Source organism: Homo sapiens, chromosome 10, assembly GCF_000001405.40.
Source record: "Homo sapiens chromosome 10, GRCh38.p14 Primary Assembly".
In the NCBI taxonomy this organism is placed as follows: Eukaryota; Metazoa; Chordata; class Mammalia; order Primates; family Hominidae; genus Homo; species Homo sapiens.
In genome coordinates this window covers 63252956-63266650 of record NC_000010.11, presented here as the reverse complement: position 1 = coordinate 63266650, position 13695 = coordinate 63252956, and the positions used below count along the sequence as shown (strand labels likewise).

General features: G+C 35.7%; 1 protein-coding gene and 1 long non-coding RNA gene across 16 annotated transcripts in view; both read left to right on the top strand.

The window, feature by feature from the left end:
• Positions 1-13695, top strand: part of JMJD1C (jumonji domain containing 1C) — a 354666-nt gene that overhangs the window by 255240 nt on the left and 85731 nt on the right. For 11 of the 15 annotated variants that reach the window (NM_001322258.2, NM_001318154.2, XM_047424772.1 and 8 more), the window contains one exon: positions 1887-2000. The exons of the other annotated variants lie outside the window; for them this stretch is intronic. Coding sequence is in view for 2 of the 11 variants with exons in the window: in NM_032776.3 (NP_116165.1) it covers positions 1887-2000 (114 nt within the window). In the remaining 9 variants the exon portion in view is untranslated. The remainder of the gene's footprint in view (positions 1-1886; positions 2001-13695) is intronic. 15 annotated transcript variants of the gene reach the window in all.
• Positions 5264-12540, top strand: LOC124900287 (uncharacterized). Its single transcript, XR_007062158.1, has 2 exons — positions 5264-7993; positions 8960-12540. It is a non-coding gene; the product is annotated as an uncharacterized LOC124900287 (long non-coding RNA).

Here is a 13695-nt window from a genome sequence, read left to right as displayed (position 1 = left end):
TTGATAATGTTCAAGGATTAAAAGTCCTCTTGAGAAGATGCCAGTGTTTTCTAGTTTACTTAAAAACTAAACTGACAGAGATATAATATGAAAAAACATTTTTTACAGTAGGGATCAGCCGAATATCCCTGTTTATGTTACATATTTCATGTCAATTGGTCACGTAGTGGTGGACACTTTTAAAGCCTAAATACAATAAATGCTCTTGAATTTCTTACAAACTTTTTGTCACTTAAGTAAAATAATAAATAGGATTTTATGAAATCCTATAGGATTTTATGTAATTGAAAAGTGTTAAATGATAACAGTAGAAGGAAATAGCTAAATAATGTGAGGATTTTCTATTTTGAAAATGTGATTTCTCACCCAAATAATAGTAATTTTGATAAATAATAGAGTGCTTAAAAGGTTAGCCTAGGATATGGGAGAGAGGATATTACTGTGACTAGATTTTCTGATCTTAAATATCGAAAATAAGTGAGAATATAAGAGAGTTTTTCCTGTTTTTTAATTAAGAAAATATTATTTGTAACTTCATGATGTAGATAGCATAGAAATAAGACTTGCTTAAATTTAATATTAAATTTTTAACTTTGAAACATTGTTACAGATTGCAGTGAGTCAACCTGAAATTCCTCTTAGGAATTTCTTAAATATAGAAATTAACTCCTTAAAAGCCACTCCAAACCAAACATCTTGAAGTTTTTCCCTGGAGTATGTTTATTGTTATTAACAAAATGTTATATATTTTTTAAGACAGAATAAGAGAAAGGGGAAACACAATGATTTTGAAATGCCTGGTAATTTGTACTGTCTATGCCAAAATCTTTGTTTTGTGTGGAAATATTAACACAAATTACCCTGTAGCTAGAAAGATTTCTCCATGTGATATAGGTAACTTAGAAATTGAGTTGATTATTAATTCTGTTTTCCGAACTTTTTTCCAGTTAAAAAATTTTTTTATAGTAAAGCAGCTGTGTTTTTAAAATGGTGGAATTTTGTTTTCATTTTCAAGTTTTTAGAACAGTACCATGAATATAAGACACTTGTATTTTATTTAATCTTCATCTACTTTGAAAGTGAGTGTGATAGTCATAAAGAAATTTATACATTGTATCCCTGTTTCCTTCCTCTTCCTACCCTGGCTCTGTCCCTGTCATCCCCACCCAAGATACGAGTTAAATCTCATATGTTAAAGGTATCTTCTTAAAGGAATCAAATGACCTTGGATTGACTTTTTTTAAAAGAAGTAGTGGAGATTTGGACTTGACTGCAAAGTAGAGTTTTGTGTAGTACTTCTTACCGGACTCTCTCTACTCCCTTCCTCCATGCTTCTCTCACCGAAGCTGCGGGATTTTTATCTGTGCTTGGTGCAGGGGCGGGGGTGGGAGTGCAAGGGGTGGAGTTAAAAGACCAGATACTTCCTGATCATTTAAAATCCTGCTTAATGTGAATGAGCTAGACAAAAAGTGTACATTGAAATAATAACTACTCTCTTTAATAAGAAATAATACAGTTAAAAAAAAAAGGTGGGGGTAAATAGCTCTACAACCCAGTTTACTGTTTCAAAAGCAATTTCTCTTTTTAAGCAGACATTTTTACACACATGCATATTTTATTACATCCCTTTTTAAAAGTAAACAGTTGGGACTTAGTATACTCAAATATGCCCATATCACATGTAGATCTAGTTTGTTTCTTTTAAATAAACACAGATACCTTATGGTGTAGATAAAAGCATTAGTTTATAATATGAAAATTAATATTAGGTACCCTAAGACTCTGTAGTGATAATGACATTGATACATTGTATTGGTGTGTGTTCCTTCATAATTTCAGGATACTACCCAGAAAATTATCATTAGAAATTTTTTTTTTCTTGGCAGACTTTCAAACCTCTGGTTGAAAGAAATATACCCAGTTCAGTCACTGCAGTAGAATTCCTTGTAGATAAGCAACTGGATTTTTTAACTGAAGATAGTGCCTTTCAGCCCTACCAGGTAAGAAATTTTAGATTACTTTTTAAAATTAAAGGTTAATTAAACTTTATTGATATTCAGACATTCTTTAAACAATATTCTTTAAATATCATTTCATCTAACTTCTAGTTGTGTGAAAAACCCAATGAATGCAGTCAGTTGATTTTGCTTATAGGATAAACGATTTATTAATTCAATTAACAATATATACTGAGAACCTACTATGAGCCAGGCAGTGTTCTGTTGCAAGGAATACAGAAGTAAACAAAATAAAGTATCTGACATTCTAAATAATCATTATTAGAAAATAATTGGTTAAATATTAGTATAAATTGTCTTCAATGCTAAACGTTAAGAATTGGGTAAATTAATATAATTAAATGAGATTAGTGTTTATGTATACCTATCAGTTTAGCATAATAGTTCTTTTTTTAAAGGGGAAATTTTTTTAGATTGTCAGTAATTGAATGATTTTATATATAAATTTCAGTTCTCCATTATTGCAATTTAAATACAAATACATTTAATTAGGAAAACATTTTCCAGTTGACTATTAGCTTTTAATTATGTGAAGAAACTCATCAAAAGTATTAAGCTAAATATTTTTTAAGATTGTTGAAATTACCAGTTAATTTTTTCAGGTATAAGTAAAGCTCACAGAATTGTGTGTGTGTGTGTGTGTGTGTGTGTGTGTGTGTGTGTGTGTGTGTGTATGTGTATTTTTTTTTTTTTTTTTTTCCGTGATGGAGTCTCACTCTTTCACCCAGGCTGGAATGCAGTGGCACGTTCTTGGTTCACTGCAACTTCCGCCTCCTGGGTTCAAGCAATGCTCCTGCCTCAGCCTCCAGAGCAGCTGGGATGACAGGCACACACCACCACGCCCAGCTAATTTTTGTATTTTTAATAGAGATGGGGTTTCACAATGTTGGCCAGACTGGTCTCGAACTCCTGACCTCAAGTGGTCTGCCCGCCTCGGCCTCCCAAAGTGCTGGGATTACAGGCGTGAGCCACCACACCTGGCCTTCATTTGTATATTTAGAGTTTAGGTTGAATTAAATGGATATATTATAGATTTCTTTTTACTCAGATGTTTTAAAATAATACAGTAATTGCATGGAAAGAAAGGATGAGTGAACCAGTTTAAATTTTTTCTAATGGAGTAAAAAGTTAATACTATTTTATTTCAGACTTGTTACTGTTTTTCAAAAATAAAATGTAGAGCTATTATTTCCATGGAGAGAACAAGAGCTTGTGTTAATGAGCAGTTATTTGTTGTGCATGGATTTGTAATACTTAGGGAATTAGAATAGTTCTCTTAGGTCCACCAAAATGAGATGTTAGTTCATTTAGTGTAAACATTATTTCATGTTTTGAAGTCTATATAGATGTGCTCTTGTCTTTCCACTTGATTTTTCTTGTTTCTTTAAAGGACCTAGTTTTTTTGTATTGTTAGCTTTTGTTCTTTGTTTATAATATTTATTTCATAGCAAATCCCAATTTAATAGTGGAGGTGTTGGAGCTTTTCCCTGGGGTTTTATTTTGTTAATTGTGAATACCATTTAGTTTACTACAGACCTTATCATTTCATTTCCCCCAGTCAGTTAGAGGGAGTTAGAGTAGGTGAATCTAGGTGAAATCAAAGGAACCTTCCAAATCTTAATGTTTTAATTCTGTGGTTGTATTATTAGCACTTTTGGAACCAAGTTTCAGCTTGGATTTGGTTTAGAGAAGTGAAATCGTTATGTAGAAATTACTTTTAAAAATAAACTCTTGCCAGGTGGCCTAAAACTCGACATGTTTTTGAAAATTACAATGATTGAAAGAATATGCTGGGGGAGAGTGGGGGGGGTACCCTAACTTTTTTTAAAACAGTTTGAGAGGCATAAGAGCTAAAGTCTTAACGCAGTTTAGTGAATTGTATGTTTGTCTCTGTTAGTAAGCTATTTAATCTGCTCTGCTAGTGTATATACTAAGTCACCCTCTGGCCTAGAAGGATGCCATATCTTCCAGAAGTGAAGTGATTGACTTGACATTTTAACCATTGTGTTTCTGAAAAATGTGAATTCCGAGTTCAAAGAAATCAGTAGGAATTAACATGAGAGCACTTGATTTGGGATCTAGCATACCTTAGTTTTAGAATTTCTTACGAATTTTAGACTAAGTGCTGGTTTATAGCAGAGCTTTTCTATGTGCATTTTTTATAGTTAGGGTTTTTAAATAAGATCAGGTTATAAATATAAAAATATTTTCTCCCATGTGTAAATGATAGACATTTATCTTATTTTGAATGAAAATTTACTACAGATACCTAAGATGGTTAAATTTATTTATTTAAATAAATCTTATGAAATACAGAAATGTTCTAGAAAGAAGAAAAAAAAATTTAGAGTTCGTGTAATTACAATGGCTCTATACCAGATTGATTGTTTTCTAACCAGTTGTCCAAGCAGTACATTAAATTCCTTAGCTTCTTAAAATGGCAGCTGTTACTGGCATAAATTTTGTAAATAGTGCCTTGACCTATCTCAACCTTAGGGTAACCCTCTGTAAGTCAAGGGGAGTTTGGGTACACTTGAATAAGCTTTTTAATTGAGCTTATTTCTTTCTCACTTTTTAAAATTTCATGAGGCAGTTTCTTAATATGGATGCTAATTATCCTTTATAAACTTTTTAAGTAGGTGGGGGAAAATTCTCTTTGGAAATGGCCTTTGTGTATATTATTTTTTAGTCTAGAGTGGTAGGTACATGTAAGTTTTTAAAATTTCCAGAAATGATGCTTTGCTGTGAATCTAATTAAATGTTTTCAGTGGGAATTCCCAGTCTGCCACCTTTATCCTTGATTTCTCAGCATTTTATTCAGTAGCAGTATGTTTTTCTTTAGTTTCCTTTACAAGTTGCACAGCCTTATTCTTCATTAAATCAGAATGATAAACTAAGGTAGTGGTTAGGAAACAGATGAGTCAGGATTAATACAAGTCCTTTCACTTTTAAGTCATTGGTTTGAAGCCCACTCTTTTCTCTGAATGATTTGAATGTATTGAATATCAGATAGCAAGTATTAAGTTAGTTAACCTGGTCAGCTTTTTTTCTTCTTCTTCTTTTTTTTTCTGTCGCTCAGGCTGGAGTGCTGTGGCACAATCTCAGCTCACTGCAACCTCCGCCTCCCGGTTTCAAGAAATTCTTCTGCCTCATCCTCCTGAGTAACTGGGATTACAGGTGTGCACCACCACTCCCAGCTAATATTTGTATTTTCAGTAGAGATGGGTTTTCGCCATGTTGACCAGGCTGGTCTTGAACTCCTGACCTCAGATGATCCACCCCGCCTTGGCCTCCAAAAGTACTGAGAATACAGTTGTGAGCCACTGCGCCCGGCACTGGTCAGATTTTTGGGTGACGTTTAGTTGGGTATTCCAGGATGCAATCATTATATATTATAGTTTTTAGTATTTTGGAAAGAAACATGACTAAAAAGAGAAATTGAACCAACATTTTCAGAGAGTATAATGGATATATATTAATTAGGCCACTGAAGCAACAGGCCTCGATATTGTTAAGTGTCTTTCTCCTTCCCTGTGCACACAAATAAGTTTCTACTTCCTCCTTTTAGGTTTCCTGATCATGCCTGGCTACACTTAACATTCTTTGAAGTAGGGGGGAAGGGAAAAGGGAGAGGAAGCAGTGGGGAAATCTGCAGATTCTACTGTGTTTTTTAGCTAGCTGGGAAGAAGGAGGAGAAAATAAATTATTGCTTCTTAAAGGTACTTTTAATAGTTTTTTGTTACGCCAGGCACGGTGGCTCATGCCTGTAATCCCAGCACTTTGAGAAGCCGAAGCGGGCGGATCATGAGGTCAGGAGTTCGAGACCACCCTGGCCAACATGGTGAAATGCAGTCTCTACTAAAAATACAAAAAAAAATTAACCGGCGTGGTGGCGGGCGCCTGTAATCCCAGCTACTTTGGAGGCTGAAGCAGGAGAATCGCTTGAACCTGGGAGGCAGAGGTTTCAGTGAGCCGAGACCGCGCCACTGCACTCTAGCCTGGGCAACAGAGCGTGACTACATCTCAAAAAAAAATAGTTTTTTTTTTGTTGTTACTATAATCTCTGTGGTATTGTTGCTTTACTTTGGAGTATGATTATAGAAGTTCAAAAAAACTTTCCATTAAATTTTGATAACAGTTTTGATCACATTCACATAAAAATTTTGATAATGAAATGAAATATTTAGCTTTTAGCATGATTTTGAAATCATTTTATCATGGATTTTGGCTACTGGCCGTGCACACACCTACAGTTTTCAGGTTGGGGTTGCTTCATAGAGAATGTGGAAGAGATTATTTCTTACCTGAAAGTTGTACATGATTCATACCAACTAACCTGGCTTGGTCTGGCTTGTTAGTCCAGTATTTTTAGGCATCACATTCCTCTTTGCTTTTAAATGTAATAAAGAAATAAAACAAAGGTCACTAGTTAAAACCGTTAGAGATTTGATACGGAATGTGGTTGTCCAAAATTATACCGCATGTTTATCTTACAGTATATTAAAATTCATTGTAGTAATGAGGTGTTTTCCCTAAAATAAGGTAGAATCATAAATCCTAGACCTGAAGGAATGATTCCATTAGAAGTTCTGGATCCCAGCTACTCTGGAGGCTGAGGCAAGAGAATCACTTGAACCCAGGAGGTGGAGGTTGCAGTGAGCCGAGATCACACCATTGCACTCCAGCCTGGGCAATAAGAGTGAAACTCTGTCTCAAAAAAAAAGTTCTGTATCATAATGAGCTGATAAAGTTTGGAGATAAGACTGTTAATACTACAGTTCTATCATTGTAGAGTATGGACATTGAACTACAGTACTTTACTAAATACTAAATACAGTACTGTTGTGCTGTGAATTGCTGGTTGAAGGGAATGGGTAGAACAAACCTGAGTATTTTCTTAGTACCTGGACTAAAGATTGCTTAAAGACTTAACCAGAGAAGACTCACACATTGTCTAGTAAATGAATGTGTCTGGACTGTGCCAGATTGTTTATCTATTTCTGTAGTCTTTCAATGATAGTTTTTCCAGTTTGAATCCATTTTAACCCATATTTCTTTCATCATTGATCATATAAATTTATTGGCTGTGGTTTCTGAATATCCCTAAGGTAATTGTTGCTCAACACATCTGTTTTACTAAAAATAGCTCAAACAGTTGCCTAGGGTAAGTTTGCAGTAGTTTAGGGAGTAGAGTGTACCAGAGACATGTATTTTTTTTTTCTCCTAAATTTGTGTTACTGTCCTATGGCATTTGGAATTGCTTCACAACCAGGATGGAATAATGCAAATAAGGTGAAATTTTAGCCATTAGTCAGCCAAGGTGAACAATTTAACCAGTTGTTTGGTCGTTACTAGACAAATGTTGTAATTTGTTGAATTAAATATTTGACATAAGTGGTCCACTGACAAAGTTTGAAATCTTGTTGATAGAGGTTTGTTTATAAGCAGATTTATTTCTCAGGGTAATATGATATTACTAGTAGTTTACAGAAAGAAGTAAACAGAACTTCCTGTTACAGTGCTTTGTATGGTGGAGAAGGGACTTGCTTTTTCAAACTTTACCTTCACTTCAGCTTATAGTACAGACAGATCACTTTAGATTGTTTTAAAAATGTAACATTTCTATAGTGTGAATGAGAATTTGACCTGGTACAGTATTTATTAGTATACTTCCGTAATTATTTTTGTCCTACAGTTCCTTTCAGATTTGTCATTTTCGTGGTATCATGTCACTGCTCTAGCATTACTTTTTACCAATTTCACGGCTCCCTGCTAGTTGTTTAATGATTTTTTAAAGTTGATAAAAGTCTTGTAAGTAATGATCTTTATCTTATTGTCAAGAAGTTTATAATCTATGATAAGAACTGACATAAAAAATGACTTCCTTGAAGTAGACTGGATTTAAGGAGCCTGAAGTAAAAACTTCCGAAATACAAAGATAGGAGAAGTCAATAAAGACTGAAATGGTTAAAGAAGTAAGTGAAAGGATGAGGTGGGGTTGGTGGGGTGGTTGGTGGTGGCGGTGGTAATGGTAATCCAGACATTTGCCAGGAGGAACAGCATAATTGGTGTTGAAGTATTTTAGGGGACAGTAGAATGTCAGCTTAGCTAAAGAAGAGAGTTTATGAATAGAATTAATGCTGGATACACATGGTGTGGGGTCAGACAAAAGAGGAAAAGATCACTAAGCACAGTTCTCAGGAGAGTAACAAAATTATCTGTGTAACAATGGCATGTTGGTTATTGTAAATATCAGAAGCAGCTAATTGATTGGGTCTTCACTAGAACCTTTTAGAGATTCATTGTAGCATAATGGTTAAGAGCATGAATTTTGACATCAGTTCAAGCAAACTTAGTTTCAAATTTTACCTTTAGCATTTGTTAGCTAGTTCACATTGGGAAAGTCTCAGCTGCTCTGAATAAATGGTTTCCTCAACTGTAAATACTGTCTACCTCAGGGTTGTTAGAAAGATTAAATGAAATGATACAGTAAAGAGTTTATAGTACAGAAACTGCTCAATAAGAGACATATTGTAAATTTCCCTTTTCATAAATGGTATCTTAAACCTTTTTCGTGGATATTTGAAACTCCTTTCTCTTCCTACCATTCACACACTCATTGACTATTTCTCTGCCACCATCTGCTGCTTACTTCTAACAATCTTTCTTACTAGTCTTCCCTAGAACTCTTAGCATTTTTTTCTCCAGCTGGTGCTAAACAAACTTTTTCAACTCTCAATATAACCCATAGACAGTGTATAATAGAACACGTTTTTGTAGTAGTGTTTTTTTCTTCTCCCAGTTTTTATGAAGAATAAGTAGGTAAGATTTCATTGTGACTTCTTAAACTATTATTTTAAGAAAATGATATTAGAAAAGATGACAACAAAACTGTACTGTGGTGGTATCCTTTACAGCACACCCTTACCTTTTTTCCACAGGGAAAGTCATGTACTCTACTTGTTGCTGATAGTTATTTTTCTCTCAGAAAGTAGAAGTGATATTCAATAAGGTACAAAATTATTTTTCTTTGTTTGGCTCTGGGAAGACACTTTGTAGCTATAATACTAAGGTCTAGAAGTCCCCTAAGCATTAAATAAAAGAGTTAGACTAAATGACCTTTGTAGCAGTGAGTACACTAGCTCTGTGAACTTGTTAAAGGTGAAAAAACAGCCTTCTCTGGTCAACATTAAACGAATCAAGCCCTAATTATTTTAGTCTTTAGGATAAGAGGCATTCAACTAAAGCTAGGTTTATCTTAAAAGAACTTTTCAGTTAGAGTGCCAGATGCAAATCAGATGTTCTGCAGAATTGGAAAACCAGGATCATTTAGATTAATGGTACTTACTCAGCACTTTCTATTCTCTTTTTCTTTTTCCTTTTCTTTCTTTTTTTTTTTTTTTTTTGAGATGAAGTCTCACTCTGTCACCCAGGCTGGAGTGATCTCAGCTCACTGCAACCTCCATCTCCCTGGTTCAAGTGATTCTCCCACATCAGCCTCCTCAGTAGCTGGGACTACAGGTGCGAGCCACCACGCCCGGCTAATTTTTTGTGTTTTTAGTAGAGACAGGGTTTCACCAGTGTTGGCCAGGATGTTCTCGAACTCCTAACCTCAAGTAATCCTCCCACCTCGGCCTCCCAACGTGTTCGGATTACAGGTGTAAGCCACTGCGCCTGGCTACTCTCTTTTTCTATATCTGTTTCTGGATTATATTTTGACAGGCGTCGAACACATTCCCAGTTACTCCCTGACTTTTCATATGCATCTCCCTTTTCCATTTCACTTTGCCTTCATTTTAACATTTGATTAAAATTTAGAGGTGCCTTGTTGACATAAAATCAGTAAAATGAGAACAGTTGTGGCATATATACTGTGCCAAAAGTATTAAAAATACATAACTATGAACTGACTACTGGTAGATTATTGGCTTGGTAGGATGAGCATCCATGGGCAGGCAAAGCCTGGGGGTGGTCTAGGAGACGAGGCCAGAACAGGAAACAGCTATTTTGTAATATTTGGCTTTATTCCATTTCAAGTCAAAAGTGACAGCTTGCAATAGTAGAGCTAAGCTGAAGCCTCGATAGTAGGATGGACAACAAGAAAAGAGGAACCAGCAGCTAAAGCAGAGTCAATATACTTCCTTGTTTTTTAAAAATTATTTTTAATATAAAGTTGCCATATCATGTTTTAATATTCAGTAATTTTGCTCTGTATTCTATTTAAATATTCTATTACCTACCTATATGATTTTATATAGCTATAATTTCAAAAATAGTAATGAAACATGCTTATTAAGGTCCCATAAATTACCCCAGTACATATCTGTTGCTATTTAAAAAAGGAGCTCTTCATTTGTAAAAATTGGTTGCGAAACTTGATGTGTTGAAAATGTATCCTTGGAGTTTAGGAACATGTTATTTTGACTGAAATTTGGCCCAAGTATGAGCTATTCTGCAATATTCAGATTAAAAACATTTATAAGTCACTGCAGTAGTTCTTTCCTGGTCCCAAATCTGCTGTGATCATATGCTGAAAAATCTGCCAGTCTCCTTTTAAATTTTCATAGCTGCTGCTATGAATTTAAAGTATGTGAAATTATGCTTGTAGACTCTAAGCCATCACTAGTTACCATTGAGAAAGATTTTCTGGTTTCTTTTTTCCAATCAAAATAAGATCATAGGATTGATTTATTCTTTTTCTTAATTGCATAATCTTACTGAAGCATGTCATATTATTTAAAATCTCAGAATTAGAGTTTTATTCCTCAGTATAATAGTAATATTTTACTAGAATTAGAATTTAATTTTGGGAATTTGATCATTCCCAAAATATTTTCATGTGCATTATTTTATTTCCAATGTTAGCTTTATGAGGAAAATAGATTGTATTCTCTTATTTTGTGTAATGCTTTCAGGATATATATTAATTTATTAATCCACACAACTGTTTGAGAAGTCTAACTTACAGATGAGAAGGAAGCAAAAATAGAAACGATGTAAAGTAGATTAAGTTTTAAAAGGGTGTGAGTATTGTGATGATATAGCAGGCAATGTCATGGTACATCCATTTCAAGAAAGTACAGCTGAACTTTACTCAGACTGGAATTGGGAACTAGAAAGTTAGGAACTCAAGTCACATATTCCCTTTAAACCCTCTCCAGAATCTCCTTTTTTTGACGGGTTTATTCTGCTAACTCATAGATACTGCTTCTCATAACACTAGTTTTCATTTGACTTACGTGTGTCAGTATCAATTCACCTACCTGTCCCCGCTCCTTTACAAGACCTTTTAAATCTAATATTTATGTTTTCTACTAAAATTACAGATAGATGGCATAGGGGAATGAAACGTTGAAAAGAAGAAATAAATATAAGGAAGAGAATATATGGTAGTAATTTTCTGTGGTAGGCAGAGAAAGTGAGGTTTAGCTCAGCTGTGACTTGGCATCTAGGTTCACACAGCTTGTGATAGTCAAAAAAGAACCTGTGTTGGGTATGGTGGATCACAACTGTAATCCTAGCACTTTGGGAGGCCGAGGTGGGAGGATTGCTTGAGCTCAGGCATTTGAGACTGGGTAACATGGGAGAACCCCTGTCTACAAAAAAATAAAATTAGCAGGGCATGGTGGTGCACGTGTATAGTCCCAGCTACTGGGGAGGCTAAGGCAGGAGGATCGCTTGAGCCCAGGAGGTTGAGGCTACAGTGAGCCATGGTCTCGCCACTGCACTTGAGCCTGGGTGACAGAGGGAGACCCTATCTCATAAAAAAAAAAGGGGGGGAGCTATGCTGCATAGTGGCACACACCTGTAATCTCAGCACTTTGGGAGGCTCAGGCAGGCAGATCACTTGAGCTCAGGAGCTCGAGACCAGCCTGAGCAGCATGGCAAAACTCCATCTCTACCAGTACCAAAAACAAAACAAAAAACAAAAAAAACTTTTGCGGGACACCTGTAGTCCCAACTACTTGGGAGGCGGGGATGGGAGGATTGCTTGAGCCCAGGAGGTCAAGGCTGCAATGAGCTGAGATCCTGCCATTGCAATCTAGCCTGGGTGACAAAGTGAGACTCTTGTCTCAAAAAAAACCTGAACTCAAAATTTTAGAGTATAAGATATTATTTCTGTTACACTGCCTGCCTTTGTGAGCCATCCAGTGTGAAGTGTCTCCTATTTACATATCATTCTCTTTTGTGTGGCACTTTATTTTTCTTATAGTTAATATCTTTCCTAAATAAAAGACTAAGTTTTTCCTGAATTTTATTGCCTGTACAATTTCACCTAGATTTTGCGTACACTGGCATCAAGCTACACTCCAAATCTGTGCATTATTTTCAGATTCATTTGTTCCCTCGGCAGGTAATCCATATTAAGATGTTTTCTAGTCTCTTTTTTTTCAGCTGTCTAGTTTTGTTTTGCTGTTTTTTGTTTGTTTGTTTGTTTGTTTTTTTGGTTGTGCATATGGGTATTCTGAATACCTAGATTTGCTCAAAGCTAAAATTCAAAAATAAAATACTTTAAAATGAAGCCCTTGTCAGTCTCTTGCCAAAACAGTTGTCTCTAAAATTCAAGTCTTTCTAGGCTTCAGACTAAAAACAAAACAGTACTGGTCCTTAGTCATTAAATAATCTGGATTGAGAGTCATTAATTCATATATTTAAGGGCCAGGTTTGTTATGTTCAGAACTACAAATACCTTCAAAGAACCTAGAATTTAATGGGGGAAACACACATAGAAAAACAAATATAAGCAAAATGTAGTAAGTAGCAGAGACCAGGGAGGAATAAGGAATTCATTCTGGTCGTAGGGATGCGGAGGTATTGTTAGAATTAGAGTAGGTGACCCCTGAGTTACATCAGGATGAATAGAAATTAGCTAAGCCACTAGGACATCACGGTTGGTTAAATACCACCGCGCCTGGTGCAGTATTACACCATATTTTTAAAAAATGAGGCCGGGCGCGGTGGCTCACGCCTGTAATCCCAGCACTTGGGGAGGCTGAAGTGGGCGGATCACCTGAGTTCAGGAGTTCAAAACCAGCCTAGCCAACATGGTGAAACCCCATCTCTACTAAAAATACAAAAAAATTAGCTGGACATGGTGGCGGGCGCCTGTATTCCCAGCTACTCGGGAGTCTGAGGCAGGAGAATCGTTTGAGCCCGGGAGGCAGAGGTTGCAGTGAGCCGAGATCGTGCCTGTGCACTACAGCCTGGGCGACAGAGCAAGACTTCGTCTCAAAAAAAAAAAAAAGGTGTAATATAAAGGTCCAGTTTCATTGTTTTGCATGTGAATATCCAGTTTCCCCAGCACCACTTTTTGAAAAGTTGTCCTTTCCACATTGAGTGCTCTTCCCACCCTTGAAATCAGTTGACCATTTGTGTAACAGTTTATTTCTGTGCTCTCTATTCTGGTCCCTTGGTCTATATATCTGTCCTTACGCAAGTATCACACTGTTTTGATTACTTCCAGTACCTTATTTTTCCCCCCACTTTTCTACCGCTGAATAATTTGTTCAAATGATTGCTCACTCTAAGATAAATCATTAAAGTGTACTATTCTGTTTTGGTGAAATTTACTGAAATACCAGATCAATGTCTTGAGTATAACTCCTGCCTTGTAAATTATTAGGCATAAGACCTCCCTTGTAGGAAACATATGTTTTTAAGATTCGAGGAAAAAGAA